Consider the following 15,672-nt stretch of genomic DNA (forward strand, 5'->3'; position numbering starts at 1 on the left):
GGGCACTGGTCCGGCCTCTAGACCCTCGAGTTACAGGGAGAAAAGGAAATATATAAGGCAGCCACTGGGGAAGGGGTGGGGTGGCTAAATGTACCTTCGGGAACTCCTGAGGGCCACCCCTTCTCTGGCACTGATTGGCGCAGTCACAGGTTCCTGATAATTACCCCCTCTCCTGCCTTACTTCCCCCATGGAAACGGTCCCCTCTGCCCACACTCCCAGCCCCCAGCAGCCGCCAGCCTTCCTACGATGACTCAGCCTGAGCCACTGTCCCCTCTGCCACCTCCACCCTCCCCCGACACCTGTCCCTTTCTAGCTGAAGCTGACCCCCAGGACGTGATTATCACCAGCACCCGGGTGGCTGTGCCAGGACTGGCCTGGCCAGCACCTGTTGGGGCTGGGAGACAGCTCTCCCCAGCCTGCCCCCTGGGTCAGCCTACTTGGGGGCCCTCACGCCCTTAGGGGGCTCTACCCACCCCATTCCTGGCAAGTCCCCTTAGGATAAACACAAACATTTCAGGCCCTCTTGAAATACTCTTTGTATTTGTATTATTTTATTTTATTTTATTTTGTGACAGGATCTCACTCTGTCACCAGGCTGGAGTGCAGTGGTGCGATTATGGCTCACTGCAGCCTCAACTTCCCAGGCTCAGGTGATCTTCCTGCCTTGGCCTCTCAAGTAGCTGGGACTAAAATATTATTTATTTTTGTTTAGAGGCAGGGTCTCGCTATGTTGCTCAGGAGTGGTCTCAAACTCCGGACTTCAAAGGATCCTCCTACCTCGGCCTCCCAAAGTGCCACAGTCATGAGCCACCTCCTGGAACTTTGTGTTGTTAAAACGATTACCATACCTCAACAGAAAGAAAGAAAATTTTGGAACATGCTCTTTCAGGCTGCTGTCTGCTTTGTACTCCCATGTTGACCCATCCCACCAAACCGCCTTGGGGATGGACAAGGCATTATCCGGCTGGGAATGAGGCTTAGCGTGTGAAGGAGTGGTTCCGCTCCCAGCACCACGGTCTCCTACAAAAGGAACTCTGAGGGTACGGTTGTGGGCCCAGCCTGCCTGTGTGTGTGGTAGGGAGGACTCTGTGACCTTCAGAGGCCCCAAAATCAAATGACAGCAGCAGCTGCTAGCTATGCTGGAGCACCAAACCTTTATTTTCCTTTGCATCCATTAATTTGTTTAGAGCCAGACAGCTTGGCTTGGAGTACCAGCCACACCAAACTTCATGCTCTGTGACTTTGGGCAATTCAGTTAACCTCTCTGGGCCTCAGTCTCCTCATCTGGAAAATGGGCGTGATGGCAGCTTCTGCTTCCTAAGCCTGGTTTGAAGATGAATGAGTGAGTATGTGTACAGTGCTCGGAAGGCACCCGGCACACCTTGTGAGCTGTTTGTTCTTGTTCTTCTTACGCCTGGTAAGTGCGTTGCAGGGGCACAGCCCCACCCACCCCACCGGGCCTCAAGGAGATTACAGGCAGTGGAGACTCAAGTAAGTCAGTCTGTCACCATCCAGAGAGGGGAGGGCCTGCCTCAGGGCCCGCAGGGAGGGCTCAGGTACTGTGGAGAGTGTCAGCTGGGAGGCCTGGGGCCCCGGCTCCAGCTCTGCTGCCCAACTGCTCTGTGACCCTGGCCAGGTCACTTGCCCACTCTGGGCTGCAGTTTCCTCCTCCTCTGGAGGCACTGGGCTGACTCTCCAGGGCCCTGGGCAGCCAGAGGTCTGGGAGGCCAGCCACCACTCCGGCTCTATTTTTACTGGGGCTCTGGACACTGTGCTGTCCTTGGACTCAGAACCTGGGTGGGTGAAAGGGAGCCCTGAGGTCATCCAGCCAGCCGGGTCTGAGCTGCGCTCCCTGGGCCTGTAAAGCATGTGCGGGAAGGTCCCCCTCATTCCAGAGGGCTTTGTGCTGGGGAAGCTGCCCTTGCCCTGTCTCTGCCTCTCTGTCCCTCCTCCATCTTGCTCACTCTTCTCACTGGTTCTCTCTCTCTGTCCCTCCCTTCCTCTCTCTCTGTCTCTCTCTGGCACATGTGCACAGAGCTCCACTTCACTCTCTAAGGCCCTGGCCTCACTGCACCCCAGTGAATTACAACCTGTTCTCATCCCTACTCTGTGCTTTTAAACTTTTTTCTCTTTATTTTAAATTGTTTACAAAATCTCAGAGAATTTATGGAATCAGAAATGGGAAAGAGGGAGGGACAGAGGGAGTAATGCAAGGAGCCATGACCCACAGCACCAGAACTCCTGCTTCAGAGACCAACAGGCATACCCACACCGATGAGAGAGGGAGGGAGAGAAGGGTGGGGGAGAGGGATGGAGGTGGGGGGACAGAGGGAGGGAGAAAGAGAGATTGACAGAGGGAGAGAGAGGGAAAGAGAGAGAGAGGGATGGAAAGATGGAAAGAGAGAGAGAGGGATGGAAAGAGGGAAAGAGAGAGAGAGGGATGGAAAGAGAGAAAAGAAGGAAGACAGGGAGGGAGTGAGAGAGGGAGAGAGAGACAGGGAGCTAGAGAAAGAGAGAGGGAAAGAGAGAGAGAGGGAGGGAGGGAGAGACCAAATAGAAAAAAGGAGGGAGAGAGGGAGGGAGAGAGAGGTGAGGGGAAGAGAGAGAAAGAGAGAGGGAGGGAGGGAGAGACCAAATAGAGAAAAGGAGGGAGAGAGGGAGGGAGAAAGGGAGGGAGGGAGGGAGAGAGAGGTGAGAGGAAGAGAGGGAAAGAGAGAGAGAGGGAGGGGGAGAGAGGGAGAGAGAGAGGGAAAGAGAGAGAGAAAGAGAAAGAAAGAGAGAAAAGGGAGAGAGAGGTGGGGAGAGGGAGAGAGAGGGAGGGAGAGAGAGGGAGGGAGAGGTGAGGGGAAGAGAGGGAAAGGAGAGAAAAGGGGAGAGAGGGAGAGGGAGAGAAAGAGAGAGAGAAAGGGAAAGAAAGACAGAAAAGGGGGAGGGGGAGAGAGAGAGAGAGAGAGAGGAAGAGTGGGAAGGCACAGAGAAAAAAGCAGAAGAGAAGCCAGAACGAGATGGAAGAAACAGAAACAGAGCCAGAGGGCAGTTGCGGAGTCCCTAGCACAAATCCTTTGAAAGGGGGAGGGCTTGGCGTGCAGGGCCTCCCTCTCACCATGGTAGCCTGATCAAGGTTTATCTTCTTTGGGCCTCAGCTTCCTCACTTGGAAAAACAAATCTGAGCTACGTGACCACCAAGGGCTCCCGGAACTCTGGCATTCAGACCCTGTGATGCTGAGGCCACTTGGGAATGGTCCCAGCCTCCTCATTCCTCAGATTTGGATAATGCTTTGACACTCAGTGCTCCACTGTTGGTTCAATATGACTGATCCCATGTAGCATATGGGATGCTGGTGCTTAGAGAGGCGGAGACGTTTTTCCGAGGCCACACAGCGACACGGTGGTGGGTGGGACCTAGGGGAGCCTGAGTGCTGCGGGCAGGACTTTCCACCTCCTTCCTCCCAGCCCATAGTTGTCCCATTACCGTGACTGTCCCCTCACCACCCCTGCACAGCACCTGCACCCCCTCTCTGGTCCTTGGTGCTCCCTGCACAGGGGCAGAGGTGATCCAGCCGAGCACGTGTCCTTCCCATGAGGCCTGTGGGCCCTCTCAGCAAAGGGTGAGACGTGGCGTGTGCTCCTCCCCCCAAGACCCCTCCTCCCTTCCTCAGTGAGAAACTGCAGCCTGGGATCCCTTCACTAAGGAAAGAAATACATTCAGGAAAACGGGACCCAGTTCCTGCCACCGTCCACCCCTGAGGCCACTCTCATTGATGATGGGGGAAGAACAAGGTGTTCTAGGCGCTTGGTGTGTATTAATTCATTTGATCCTCACAAACGCCTTTGGCATAAGTAATTAGAAGAAAAATTATTATTTTCATTTCACAGGTGAGGAAACTGAGGCACACAGTAGTGAAAAAACATGTCCAAATCACACCTCTGGGAAGAGGCAGACCAGGCTCAGGGGCTTGGGTGAGTGACGACTAAGAGTTGTGTAGCATGGGCTGTTGATTCAGGCATGAGCACGAGTGTCACTGGCATCCCAGCCCCGGGCTAAGGGCTTAGCACCTGCTACCTTATGCCATCCTCATGGCCAATGCCATCGGTTCCCAGCCCTCCCCAGCGGCATCCCATCTGCCCTGCCTGAAGAGTCTCCTGTTGGTTTGGAAGTTCACCCCCAATGGTGCTCACAGAAGATGACTTCAGTCTTGCCCCAAGGGTGAGTTACAGTTGCTCCCAGCCCATCATGGTGGTCTTGACTGTGACAGGCTTAGGCATAGGCATGTGACCCAGTCCTGGAAAATGGGAACTTAGAGAAAATCTGCCAGGGAGGAGGAAGGGGGCCTCTGGAAAGTTCTTCCATACCTTCAAATGAGGACATGAAGCAGGAATTGCCTCTTCCTGCCTTTGGATGTGGAGTGAGGATGTGATATCTGGAGGTGTAGCAGCCATCTTGTGGCCTTGAGGGAAAGGCAACTTGTGGGGAAGTAGATTGTAAGCCAAAAATAAAATTCTAAGCCATCCCATGACTGAATGGACCGCCTTTACAGCCAAGGGCATTCCAAAGTAAACCTGATAAAATAGTTCCGGCCACGAGGGGAAGGAGGGGTCAGACAGGCCTCATTATACCCTCCTCACTTTGGATTTCAGGTACAACTGACCAGCACTAACAATGAAACAGATTTTAAGATTGACAATACAGACTCTTTTTTTTTTTTTTTTTTGACATGGGGTTTTACTCTTGTCACCCAGGCTGGAGTACAATGGCATGATCTCGGCTCACTGCAATCTCTGCTTCCCAGGTTCAAGCGATTCTCCTGCCTCAGCCTCCTGAGTAGCTGGGATAACAGGCTCCTGCCATCATGCCCAGCTAATTTTTGTATTTTTAGTAGAGATGGGGTTTTGCCACATTGGCCAGGCTGGTCTCAAACTCCTGACCTCAGGTGATCTCGCCTCGGCCTCCCAAAGTGCTGGGATTACACACGCGAGCCACCATGCCCAGCCAATGCAGCCTCCTTATAGCAATAAGACACCAAATTCCAATCTGACTCCAGTATTGCATCACATGACATAGCAAGCCCAGAAAGAAAGCAAAGTGTTTTACCCCCAAAATATATTTCTTTGACATATTTTGAAACGGCCCTGCAAAACTATCTCTGATGGGGAAAATGTACAATCTATAGAGAATCCCCTTCCCTTTCCAGGTCTTGTCCTGACCCAAAAGAGATTAACTAAGAGTCTGGCACCTTTTAGAGACATTTACCATCTATTTGCTCTGAAGCCTGCTACGTGGAGGCTTCATCTGCACAATAAGAACCCTGGTCTCCACAACCCCTTATCTTAACCCAGACATTCCTTTCTATTGATTCCAGGTCTTTAGATAATAGCTGTTTCAACCAATTGCCAATCAGAAAATCTTTGAATCCACCTATGACCTGGCTAGGTCACAAAAAGCATCCAGCGTCTGCCAGGCTCCTTCTCCTGGGTCCTTTAATCTTGGAACCCAGTCGCCATGTCAAGAAGAAGTAGAGCGGCCACATGTCATGTATGCAATGCAATGGGTGCTTCGAGAAAGGGTTGTGCCAGAGGGAGGAGAGCCAGCTCCAGGCTGGATGGGCAGGGAGGAGAGGAAACACTTCCCAAAGTGAGGCTTCAAGAGTGCAAAGGGGCTGGGTGTGGTGGTTCACACCTGTAATCCCAGCCCTTTCAGAGACCCAGGTGGGCGGATCACCTGAGGTCAGGAGTTCGAGACCAGCCTGACCAACATGGCGAAACCCCATCTCTACTAAAAATACAAAAATTAACTGGGCATGGTGGCAGGTACCTGTAATCCCAGCTACTCGGGAGGCTGAGGCAGGAGAATCACTTGAACCCAGGAGGTGGAGGTTGCAGTGAGCCAAGATCGCACCATTGCACTCCAGCCTGGGTGACAAGGGTGAAACTACTCAAAAAAAAAAAAAAAAAAAAAAAAAAAAAAGACTCCAGCCCGCAAAGTGGGGCTGACATCCGAGAGCACTGGATAGTCCAGGAACAGCAAACCCAGGGCTCAGGCACTGTAGACTGCACATCAAATCAGGGTTCAGGAGGGAAAAGTTGGGCCACGTTGTCTGAACTTTTCTCCCATGCGCAATGAGAAGGAGCCGTTGAAAGTTATTTGCCCAGTGACTTGGGCAGAATTGCCAAGTGGTTTGGAGCGTGGCCTTGGGCTGTGTGTGGGTTTTCAAACTGACAGCCGGTTACATGATCCAGGCCCGAGGGGGTGGCTCTAGTTTCTGTGTGAGTGACCCTGAGTGAAAACCTGCTTGCTCAGCCTGCTCCATTCCTAGGGCCAGGAGAGGCAATAATAAGATACAGAACCGTTGTGTTTTAGCCATTATATTTTGGGGTGACTTTATTACTATTTATTACATACTATTTTTATTACTACGCAGCAATAGAAATTGAAACAATAAGGCCGGGTGCATTGGCTCATGCCTGTAATCCCAGCACTTTGGGAGTCTGAGGCAGGCAGATCACTTGAGGTCAGGAGTTCGAGACCAGCCTGGCCAATGTGGTGAAACCCTGTCTCTACTAAAAATACAAAAATTAGCCGGGCATGGTGGTGGGCACCCGTAATCCCAGCTACTCAGGAGGCTGAGGCAGGAGAATTGCTTGAAACCAGGAGGCGGAGGTTGCAGTGAGCCGAGATCACACCATTGCACTCCAGCCTGGGTAAGCGAGACCGTCTCAAGGAAAAAAAAAAAGGAAAAGGAAAAGAAATTGAAACAGTAAGTGTTTCACAGGTATTTGGTGAATGAAATGTATTAGGTACCTGATTAGGTGGAATTGAAAAAATATGTTTTTGTTGTTGTTGTTGTTTGTTTGTTTGTTTGTTTGGAAAGAAGCTGCCATTGAAAAGCATCCAAGAGTTTCAACTGAATGGCAGTGGCCTCCGGTTCGCCTGGAACGCTCACCTCTGATAAGTAGAGTCTTGCAATGCTCAATGGCCTCTCATGAACACTCCCGTGTAAGTGACAAGTGAGAAATGAGGCCCCAGGCCCTGGTAGCCATTGGGACATCCCCCAAGGCTTGAACTCCTGCCAGTCCAGCCTGCAGGTGCTTAGCAGGATTTGGTCACTTGGCTTCAGCTGGCGTGTTAGTGAGTCTTGCCCTGGCTCAAGCAAAAGTCAGCGGCTCTGCGTCAGGGCACCCACAGGATGGAAGGTGGGACTCACTCTGAACTGGTGTCATGATGCTTCCAACCGGCTCCAGGAAGACTACCAGCTGGGAATCCCCCGCAGCCTGGCGGAAGAGCCCCCGTACCAAGCTCCTGAAGAAGATCACCCTTCCCAGCAGCCTCAGATGCAAGAACTGGGGATGGGGCAGACAGACTTGTCACAGGGCTCCCGGGAGGCCTCACCCTTCCCTTCTGAGGGCCAGGGAGAGGAGAGCCACATTTTGCCGGAAGGATGCCTGGGGACTGGCTCAGCGAGGCTGGCATTCTCCTATTGAAGGATCCTTCGCTCAGCTCTGCAGTGTGAGGCCCCAATGCCCCTAGTCCCCGAGCCTGGGCCTTGAGTAAAATGACAGGGTGTGCAGCTTTGAGTGATAACCACCAGCCTTTGAAGCACAAGCTTGGGGCTCCCTGCAGCCCTGCAGGTGAGGGTCTGGACCAGGACAGAGGTTATGGGCACTGGACAAGGACTTGCCAGCTTGCCCAGGATGGGTGCCCAGAGCACAACTGCATGGTGGCGAAAGGGCAGCAGTGCCTGAAACTGGCCCCCAGGCAGGCGGATCAGGGCCTCCAGCGCCACCACACATGTGCAACCTGTCTGGCCCTCTTGGGCTGAGCCAGCCCCTGCATTCTCCGGCAATTCAGGGAGAGGAAGTAGAGCCCACAGGAGAAGTCAGACTTGCTGCTAATCTGGAAGTGGAGGCTCAGACTGATTTTACTTTGAAAAATGTGAAAATCGGGAGAATATTTGTCCCAAAGCTGATGAGGCATGCCACGCTGGTGGCATAAGCCTGTATGTCCTAGGGGGCAGGGTGCTGCAAGCATTTAAGAGTACAGATTTTGGCGGGGTGTGGTGGCTCATGCCTGTAACCCCAGCACTTTGGGAGGCCGAGGCAGGCCGATCATCTGAGGTCAGGAGTTCAAGACCAGCCTGGCCAACATGGTGAAACCCTGTCTCTACTAAAACTACAAAACATTAGCCGGGCATGGTGGTGGGCACCTGTAATCCCAGCTACTCAGGAGGACGAGGCAGGAGAATTGCTTGAACCCAGGAGGCAGAGGTTGCAGTGAGCTGCCATTGCACTCCAGGCTGGGCAACAAGAGTGAAACTCTGTCAAAAGAAAGAAAGAGAGAGAGAGGGAGGGAGGGAGGGAGGAAGGAAGGAAGGAAGGAAGGAAGGAAGGAAGGAAGGAAGGGCAGATTTCAGGTGCAAATCCCAACTTGCCTTCTTTTTAGTTGGTGGTCTTGGGCAAATTACTCAAACTCTCTCTGTTTTAGTTTCCTCATCTGTAAAATGAGGATCATTGTGGAAGTTAGTGTCCTCCAAAGAAACAGAACCAATAGGACGTATATATAGAGAGGTTTATTTTAAGGAATTGGCTCATGCAATCATGCGGGTTGGCAAGTCTGAAATCTGCAGGACAGACCGGGAGGCTGGAGACCCAGGGAAAAGTGATTTTGCAGCCTTGAGTCTGGAAGCAGAATTCCTTCTTCCTTGTGGAACTTCAGCCTCTTCTTGTAAGACCTTCAACTGATTGGTGCGGCCCACCCTCATTATGGAGGTAATCTGCTTTACTCTAAGTCTCTTTATTTAAATGTTACTCGCATCTTCAAAATACCTTCACAGCAGCATCTAGACTGGTGTTTGACCACACAATTGGGCACCATGGCTTAGCCAAGTTGACCCATACCAACATGATGACAATGATGATAATAATGCCTACCTGGTAGGGCTGTTGAAAGATTCAATGCATTGGACTATATTAAATATTTAGGCCTGGCCTGGTGGCTAACCTCTGTAATCCCAGCACTTTGGGAGGCTGAGAAGGAGGATCGCTTGAGTCCAGGAGTTCGAGACCAGCCTGGGCAACACAGAGAGACCCCTTCTCTTCAAACAATTTAAAAATTAGCCAGCCATAGTGACGTGCACCTGTAGTCCCAGCTACTCTGGAGGCTGAGATGAGAGGATCACTTGAACCTGGGAGGTGGAGGCTGCAGTGAGCCATGATCACACCACTGCACTCGAGCCTGGGTGACAGAGCAAGACCCTGTCTCAATAAATAAGTAAGTAAATAAATATTTAGAGTGGGCTGGGCCCTCCTCATAGCTGGCTTTCCCCTCCTCTTACTGTCAGTACTTTCATCACTGCAACAAAATACTCCTGATATCCAAATACAAGCCCCCCTGAGAACCATCCATCTAGGCTCGTGGTTTAAGCAACCCTTTCTTTTCAGTGGTCACCCCACTTGGCTTATTTCTAATGAAACATCATGCGGAACCCCAATAGATACGTTGGCCAAAGGTGCCGCTGCTCTGGCTGAAGCAGAAATGCCCAGTGCCCCTCACCCCCATGTCTGATCCCTCCCACATCTGTCAGAGGACTTGGTCCCTGTGCTCAAAACCTGGAGCTCCACATCACCCAGTTTCATAATTCACCAGGTCCGCAAAACTACCTCCTCTCTCTAACGCATGTGTGAAGGGTGGCCGCCCTGCCCCTGGGGGATCTTGACTCTGATACACGGTGGGAAAACTTCCAAGGAGGCTGAAACCTGCGCAGCCACCATGGGGAAGGCCACCCAGCAGATGGGAGAGGCTCCGCGCCTCGGAGCGGACGCTCGTTGTTTTTGAGGAACCGATGCCCTCTGATGACTGGAACATTTTCAGCAAAGATTTTGCCCTTCTGAGTGTGCTAACAGGTTCAGTATTTCTGTGTAAAATAACAGCATGGGAAGAATTTTTTTATTTGTGGGTAATCTGTGGTCAGACAAAAGCAACAGCATTGACAGAGGGCAGTAGAAGGGGAAGGTTTTGTGTCTGTTTGTTAAGATACCACTTTCACGTGTCTGGGAGCACACAATGAATGGTGTGCATGTGCGTGCATATGTGTGTGTGTCTGTGTGTGTGTATGCATGTGTGCACCTGAGAGAGAAAACACAATAGAATAGAAATATAAGATGCCATTTTCATTACTAATAAAATGGCAAACGTGTGTGCGTGTGTGCGTGCATGTGTGTGTGCATATGTGTGCATGTATATGTGAGAATTGTCTATGTGTGCATGTATGTGTGTGTTTGTGTACATGTGAGTGTGTTTGTGTATGGGTATATGTGTGTGATTGTATGTATTTGTGTGTACATGTGTTATGTGTGCATGTGTGTGTATGTGAGAGTGTGAATGTGTGTATGTGTATGTAAGAGTGTGTGTGCATGTGTGTGTATTTATGAGTGTGTGAGTGTATGTGTGCACGGGTGTGTGTATATGCATGTATATGTGTGTCACGTGTACATGCTTGTGAGAATTGTGCGTGTGTGTGTGCATGTATTGTGTGTACATGTTTGTGTATATATGTGTGTTTGTGTGTATGTGTGTATTTGCATGTGTGTTATGTATGTGTCCATGTGCAGGTGTATGTACATGTGTGTGTGCATTTGTGTGAGGGTGTGTGTGTGTGCATTGTGTGAGTGTGTATGTCTGTGAGCATGTATGTGTGTGTCTGTGTGTGAATGTATATATGTAAGAGTGTGTGTGTGTGAGAGTGTATGTGCGGTTGTGTGTATATGCATGTATTTGTGTGCCATGTGTACATGAGTGTGAGAATTGTACATGTGTATGTGTGCATGTGTGTGTACATTTCTGTGCATATATGTGTGGTTGTGCATATGTGTATGTGTGTTATGTATGTGTGCATGTGTGTGTGGTTGTGTCTGTGTGTATGTGTGTATGTATGTGGTTGTGTGTCTGTGTATTTGTATGTGTGTATTTGTATGTGGGTGTACATGTGCTTGTGTATGTGCGTGTCTGTGTATTTGTGTGTATGTGTATGAGTGTGTGTCTGTGTGTGTATTTGCATGTGTGTGTACGTTTGTGTATATGTGTCTGTGTGTATTTGCATGTGTGTGTACATGTGTTTGTGTCTGTGTATGTATTTGCATGTGTGTACATGTGTTTGTGTGTGTGTATTTGCATGTGTGTGTCTGTGTGTGTATTTGCATGTGTGTGTGCATGTGGTGTACATATGAGTGTTTATGTGTCTGTGTATTTATGTGTGTGTCTGTGTGTATTTGCATGTGTGTGTACATGTGTTTGTGTCTGTATGTATTTGCATGTGTGTACATGTGTTTGTGTCTGTGTGTGTATTTGCATGTGTGTGTGCATGTGGTGTACATATGAGTGTTTATGTGTCTGTGTATTTACGTGTGTGTCTGTGTGTATTTGCATGTGCGTGTATGTGTGTATACCTTATCAAGCCTGTCCCTCATTGTTTTGCTGTCACCTGATGCCCCAGCTCTGCTCAGCTAGTGGCTCGCTGTCCACGTTGAGGTCTCGAGTGAGTCACCCCGCACAGCTCTTCACGGTTTCTCACTTCTGCTCCCCAGATATTGCCCAAGCCCTGGTTTCTTTTACATCCTATCCAACTTCTCCAGGCTCCACCCAGAAAGCCACAGTCCCAGGCAGAGTCAGGAGGGCCAGATTTTAAAGAAGTTGCCTGGGCTGTCCTGGGGGTGACTCTTGTGGATTCCAAAGTGGCAGGTAATGTGGCTAGAAGCCAAGATCAGACCTGACAGCAGGAGAGTCAGACAGACATTGATACACTCAGACTCACACATGCCAACGCGCACACACACCCAGTGTGTGCCCAGAGACACGCACACACACAGAGCTCAGCTTCAGGAATCAGATGTTCAGAACTAGGGTCCTACTGGGACCTCCTGAACCATTTAATTTCTAAAATACTCTACAGTTTACAACATGCTTTTATATCCATATCCACATGTTATACTAGTGTGGTATCCCAGTAGGACCCTGGTTCGGTGGCTCACACCTGTAATCCCAGCACTTTGGGAGACCAAGGCAGGTGGATCGCCTGGCCAACATGGCGAAACCCCATCTCTACTAAAAATACAAAAATTAGCCAGGTGTGATGGCACATGCCTGTCATCTCAGCTACAAGGGAGGCTGAGGCACGAGAATCTCTTGAACCTAAGAGATGGAGGTTGCAGTGAGCCAAGATTGCGCCACTGCACTCCAGCCAGGGTGACAGAGCGAGACTCCATCTCAAAAAAAAAAAAAAAGTGAATGTAGAAAAGGCAACATGAACATTTATGTAGACACTTCCCGTTGGTTCTGTTTCTCTGGAAAACCCTGACTTATGCAGCAGCTGACTCTTTATGACTTTCATCCACCATGACTGGGCCCGCCATCACTCCCACACCTCATCTTCATACTCTCAGAGCCCTGTGCCTCGTCAGCTCCCCGAGGCAGGGGCAGGGCCTGTCTGCTTCACTGTGGCACCCCAGAGCCTAGCTCAGTGCCTGGCACCCTGCAGGCTTCAGGAAATATTTGATCAATGCATGTGTGAATATATGACTGAGTGAATTTGGAAAGCCACTCCTTAGGCAATTCCTACACCTGAAACTCTCTTCCTACTTCTTTTTTTTTTTTTTTTTTTTTTTTTTTGAGACAGAGCCTCACTCTGTTGCCCAGGCTGGAGTGCAATGGCACAGTCACGGCTCAGTGCAGCATTGACCTCCCTGGGCATAGGTGATCTCCCACTTCAGCCTCTCAAGTAGCTGGGACTACAGGCGTGCACCACCATGCTCAGTTAATTTTTCTATTTTTTTGTGGAGACAGGGTTTCGCCATGTTGCCCAGGTTGTTCTCAAACTCCTGAGCTCAAGTGACTTACCTGCCTCAGCTTCCCAAAGTGCTGGATTGCAGGCATAGGTCACTATGTCCGGCCCCTTCTTTGCTCATAAAAATCCTTTATTGTCCCCGAGGCCTAGCATGGGCTACTTTCTCCTTCATCCCCACACCGCGGAAGCCTCATGAGAGCAGAGACCATGTCTGCCTTATTCACGATTGTGACTTAGACTGAAGCCTAAGTCTCAGTCTGGGGCCTGGTACATGGTAGATGCTCAATAAATACTGGTTACATTAATGTAGAATACATGTCACAGCGGTAGGATATTTTTATTTATTTATTTTTTTGAGACAGAGTTTCCCTTTTTTTTTTTTTTTTTTTTTTTGAGATTGAGTCTTGCTTTGTCCCCAGGCTGGAGTGCAATGGCGCAATCTCAGGTCACTGCAACCCCTGCCTTCCAGGTTCAAGCAATTCTCCTGTCTCAGCCTCCCGAGTAGCTGGGATTACAGGCATGTGCCACTGTGCCCAGCTAATTTTGTATGTTAGTAGAGACGGGGTTTCACCATGTTGGTCAGGCTGGTCTCGAACTCCTGACTTTAGGTGATCCACCCGCCTCGGCCTCCCAAAGTGCTGGGATTACAGGCATGAGCCACCACCCCGCTAGGATATTTTTTAAATGTTAACCTCTATTCTTCCCCCAGGATTGCCCTTATTCCTTTTGCTCTCACCTCTTCTTTAGACAGCAAAGTATTTCTTTCCCTAAGCCTCAGGGAAGGATGTGACAGCTGAGAACAAAAAACCCATGTCTCTTGCCTGGATTTGCAGTGTCGAAAGCTTAGACTCAGAGAGAACCAGAAGGAATACACAGAAAGGAGAAAATACTTGGAGGAAATCATGAGAGTTTTCTGCTTTCCAGGCTGGAGAATCATTTTCTGAAACTGTCATAAAGAAGAGAACTGCAGAGAAAACACCCAGATTGCAGATGCTGGTAGTTCTCAGAGAAAGAGGCTCTGTCCCTGCTCATAAAGCACCTTGTGTGGGTTAGGAAAAGGCACCCCCCTGGGTGCACAGCTTGGTAACTGGAGCACAGTTCACATCCAGCTCTTATTACCCGCTTCGTCCAGGCACTCATGTGGAGTGCACAACCCATACAACCATACAGAGCCGCCTTGCACAAGCCCTACCAAGTCCTAAAAGAGGCAAAAAAAAAAAAAAAAAAAAAAAGTTCAGACAGGTCTGCGGGGTCTGAACACAGAGAAAATCCATGCCTCACATTCCAGGCAGAGACCTCATGGGGCAAGAGTGTTTCAGGGAGGAAGTGGTCCCAGGCAAAAGCGATCACAGTTTCCTACGCAGAGGATCTGATAAGGAACAATGACTAAGGACCAGGTGGGTGCAGCAGTCCTGAGGTCAACCCTGGGGACAGATGACAGCAGCCACCAGATTGCCACCTCCCCATGCACGCACACAACTTGGCACACATAAGCCCCTTGGAATCAGCCCAAAAACCACAGAAAAATCTCAAATAAATTGAGATTAAGTATTTGCCACTCATGCAAAATGAAGATTCAAAACAGAAGTCCCCTTGAGTCACAGGCGTGCACACACAAGCACACACACACAAAGAATAAGTTGCATCGTGTGCATCCAAGGTGCACATAAACTGGGAATTTTTTTAAAAAATTGCTCTGCTTAGCACACATTTGTTCAATGGATGCTGAATGAATAACAAGTAACGGGTGCATCTCTGCATCCTTAATGGTGTTCTGCCCTGATTTAATTATCAGAACACATCTGTCTCCCTGACTAGATTGTCAATGGCTTGCAGACAGGGACCCAGTTTATTCAACTTTAAATCCTGCACATGAATCCTCTACAGAACTGCTCATTGCCTGAGTGTTCAATTGAATTACTCTCTAAGTATGTGGAATTTTTCTCCAGGCTCCAAGATCAAAAAGCTCCCCTCACCCTGAACTCCCCTCCTTTCTCTCCCACCTCTTCATAGAGCATACGAATTCCCAAATCCTGGCGCAGAAAGGAAGAAGGTTCCCCTTTAATGCGGTTGTCTGGTGCCACCGCACAGCCTGGTAAATAAGTGTGCTAGGATTTGGGACGTGTCCACATCCAGCAGAGGAGCACTGCTCTGCCCAGCAGCCGTGAGCCTGAGCTTAGTCTGAGGTTTGGGGCAGTGAGGTCACGATTATCGTGGGGTAGGGGTAGGGCTGGACCCCAAGACAGATGCTCAAGGGCAGGGGGGCTCAAGGTCCCTTGTTCTGGGAGCTACTGGAGATTTAAGGTGCCCAGGACTTGGGGCTTCCCAGAGATGGCGCCCAGAGTCGTGGTGGCATTCTAGGACCTCATGGCTTGGGCACGTGGGCCGGTCCAGCCCACCAGGCCCTTTTCCAGGCCCCTTTCCACACCCTTTGCTGCAGCCTGCTTCCTGGCTGCCACAATTACATGCCAACATTTTATTTTTGGCCCTCGCAGCAATACTTACATTTTCTGCCCGTGCACTCTGCCTTCGCTGATATGGATTTTGTCTCCTGGCCTGTGTTTGTAAATTATTCCCCATGTGTCTGTCCTTTCTCTGTGGCCAGAAGGTCAGCAGCTGCCACTGGCTGGCCGCCTTGCTCTCTCCCTGGCTGGAGTCCCTGCTGCCTTCCAGGCCATAGTTTGAGTCCCAGCTCTGCCACTTACTAGCAGGGTGACCTTCCCATGTTACTGAAGGTATTGCAGCCATGATGATGATGGCTTCCCCTCTCCTCTGGGTTCCCACAGCCTGGCGCACCTGTCACTCTCTCCTCGTATTGCAGAGGTCTGTTCGCTGCCT

General features: G+C 50.1%; 3 annotated features.

The window, feature by feature from the left end:
• Positions 1,126 to 1,687: an enhancer, noted in NCBI's record as "H3K4me1 hESC enhancer chr22:35987987-35988548 (GRCh37/hg19 assembly coordinates)". NCBI's record gives its function as "activates a minimal SCP1, AML or CMV promoter by ChIP-STARR-seq in primed H9 embryonic stem cells {active_cell/tissue: H9 hESC(primed)}" and the evidence as "EXISTENCE:reporter gene assay evidence [ECO:0000049][PMID:30033119]".
• Positions 7,486 to 8,227: an enhancer, noted in NCBI's record as "H3K4me1 hESC enhancer chr22:35994347-35995088 (GRCh37/hg19 assembly coordinates)". NCBI's record gives its function as "activates a minimal SCP1, AML or CMV promoter by ChIP-STARR-seq in primed H9 embryonic stem cells {active_cell/tissue: H9 hESC(primed)}" and the evidence as "EXISTENCE:reporter gene assay evidence [ECO:0000049][PMID:30033119]".
• Positions 14,753 to 15,253: an enhancer, noted in NCBI's record as "H3K4me1 hESC enhancer chr22:36001614-36002114 (GRCh37/hg19 assembly coordinates)". NCBI's record gives its function as "activates a minimal SCP1, AML or CMV promoter by ChIP-STARR-seq in primed H9 embryonic stem cells {active_cell/tissue: H9 hESC(primed)}" and the evidence as "EXISTENCE:reporter gene assay evidence [ECO:0000049][PMID:30033119]".

Source organism: Homo sapiens, chromosome 22 (assembly GCF_000001405.40).
Source record: "Homo sapiens chromosome 22, GRCh38.p14 Primary Assembly".
Lineage (NCBI taxonomy): Eukaryota > Metazoa > Chordata > Mammalia > Primates > Hominidae > Homo > Homo sapiens.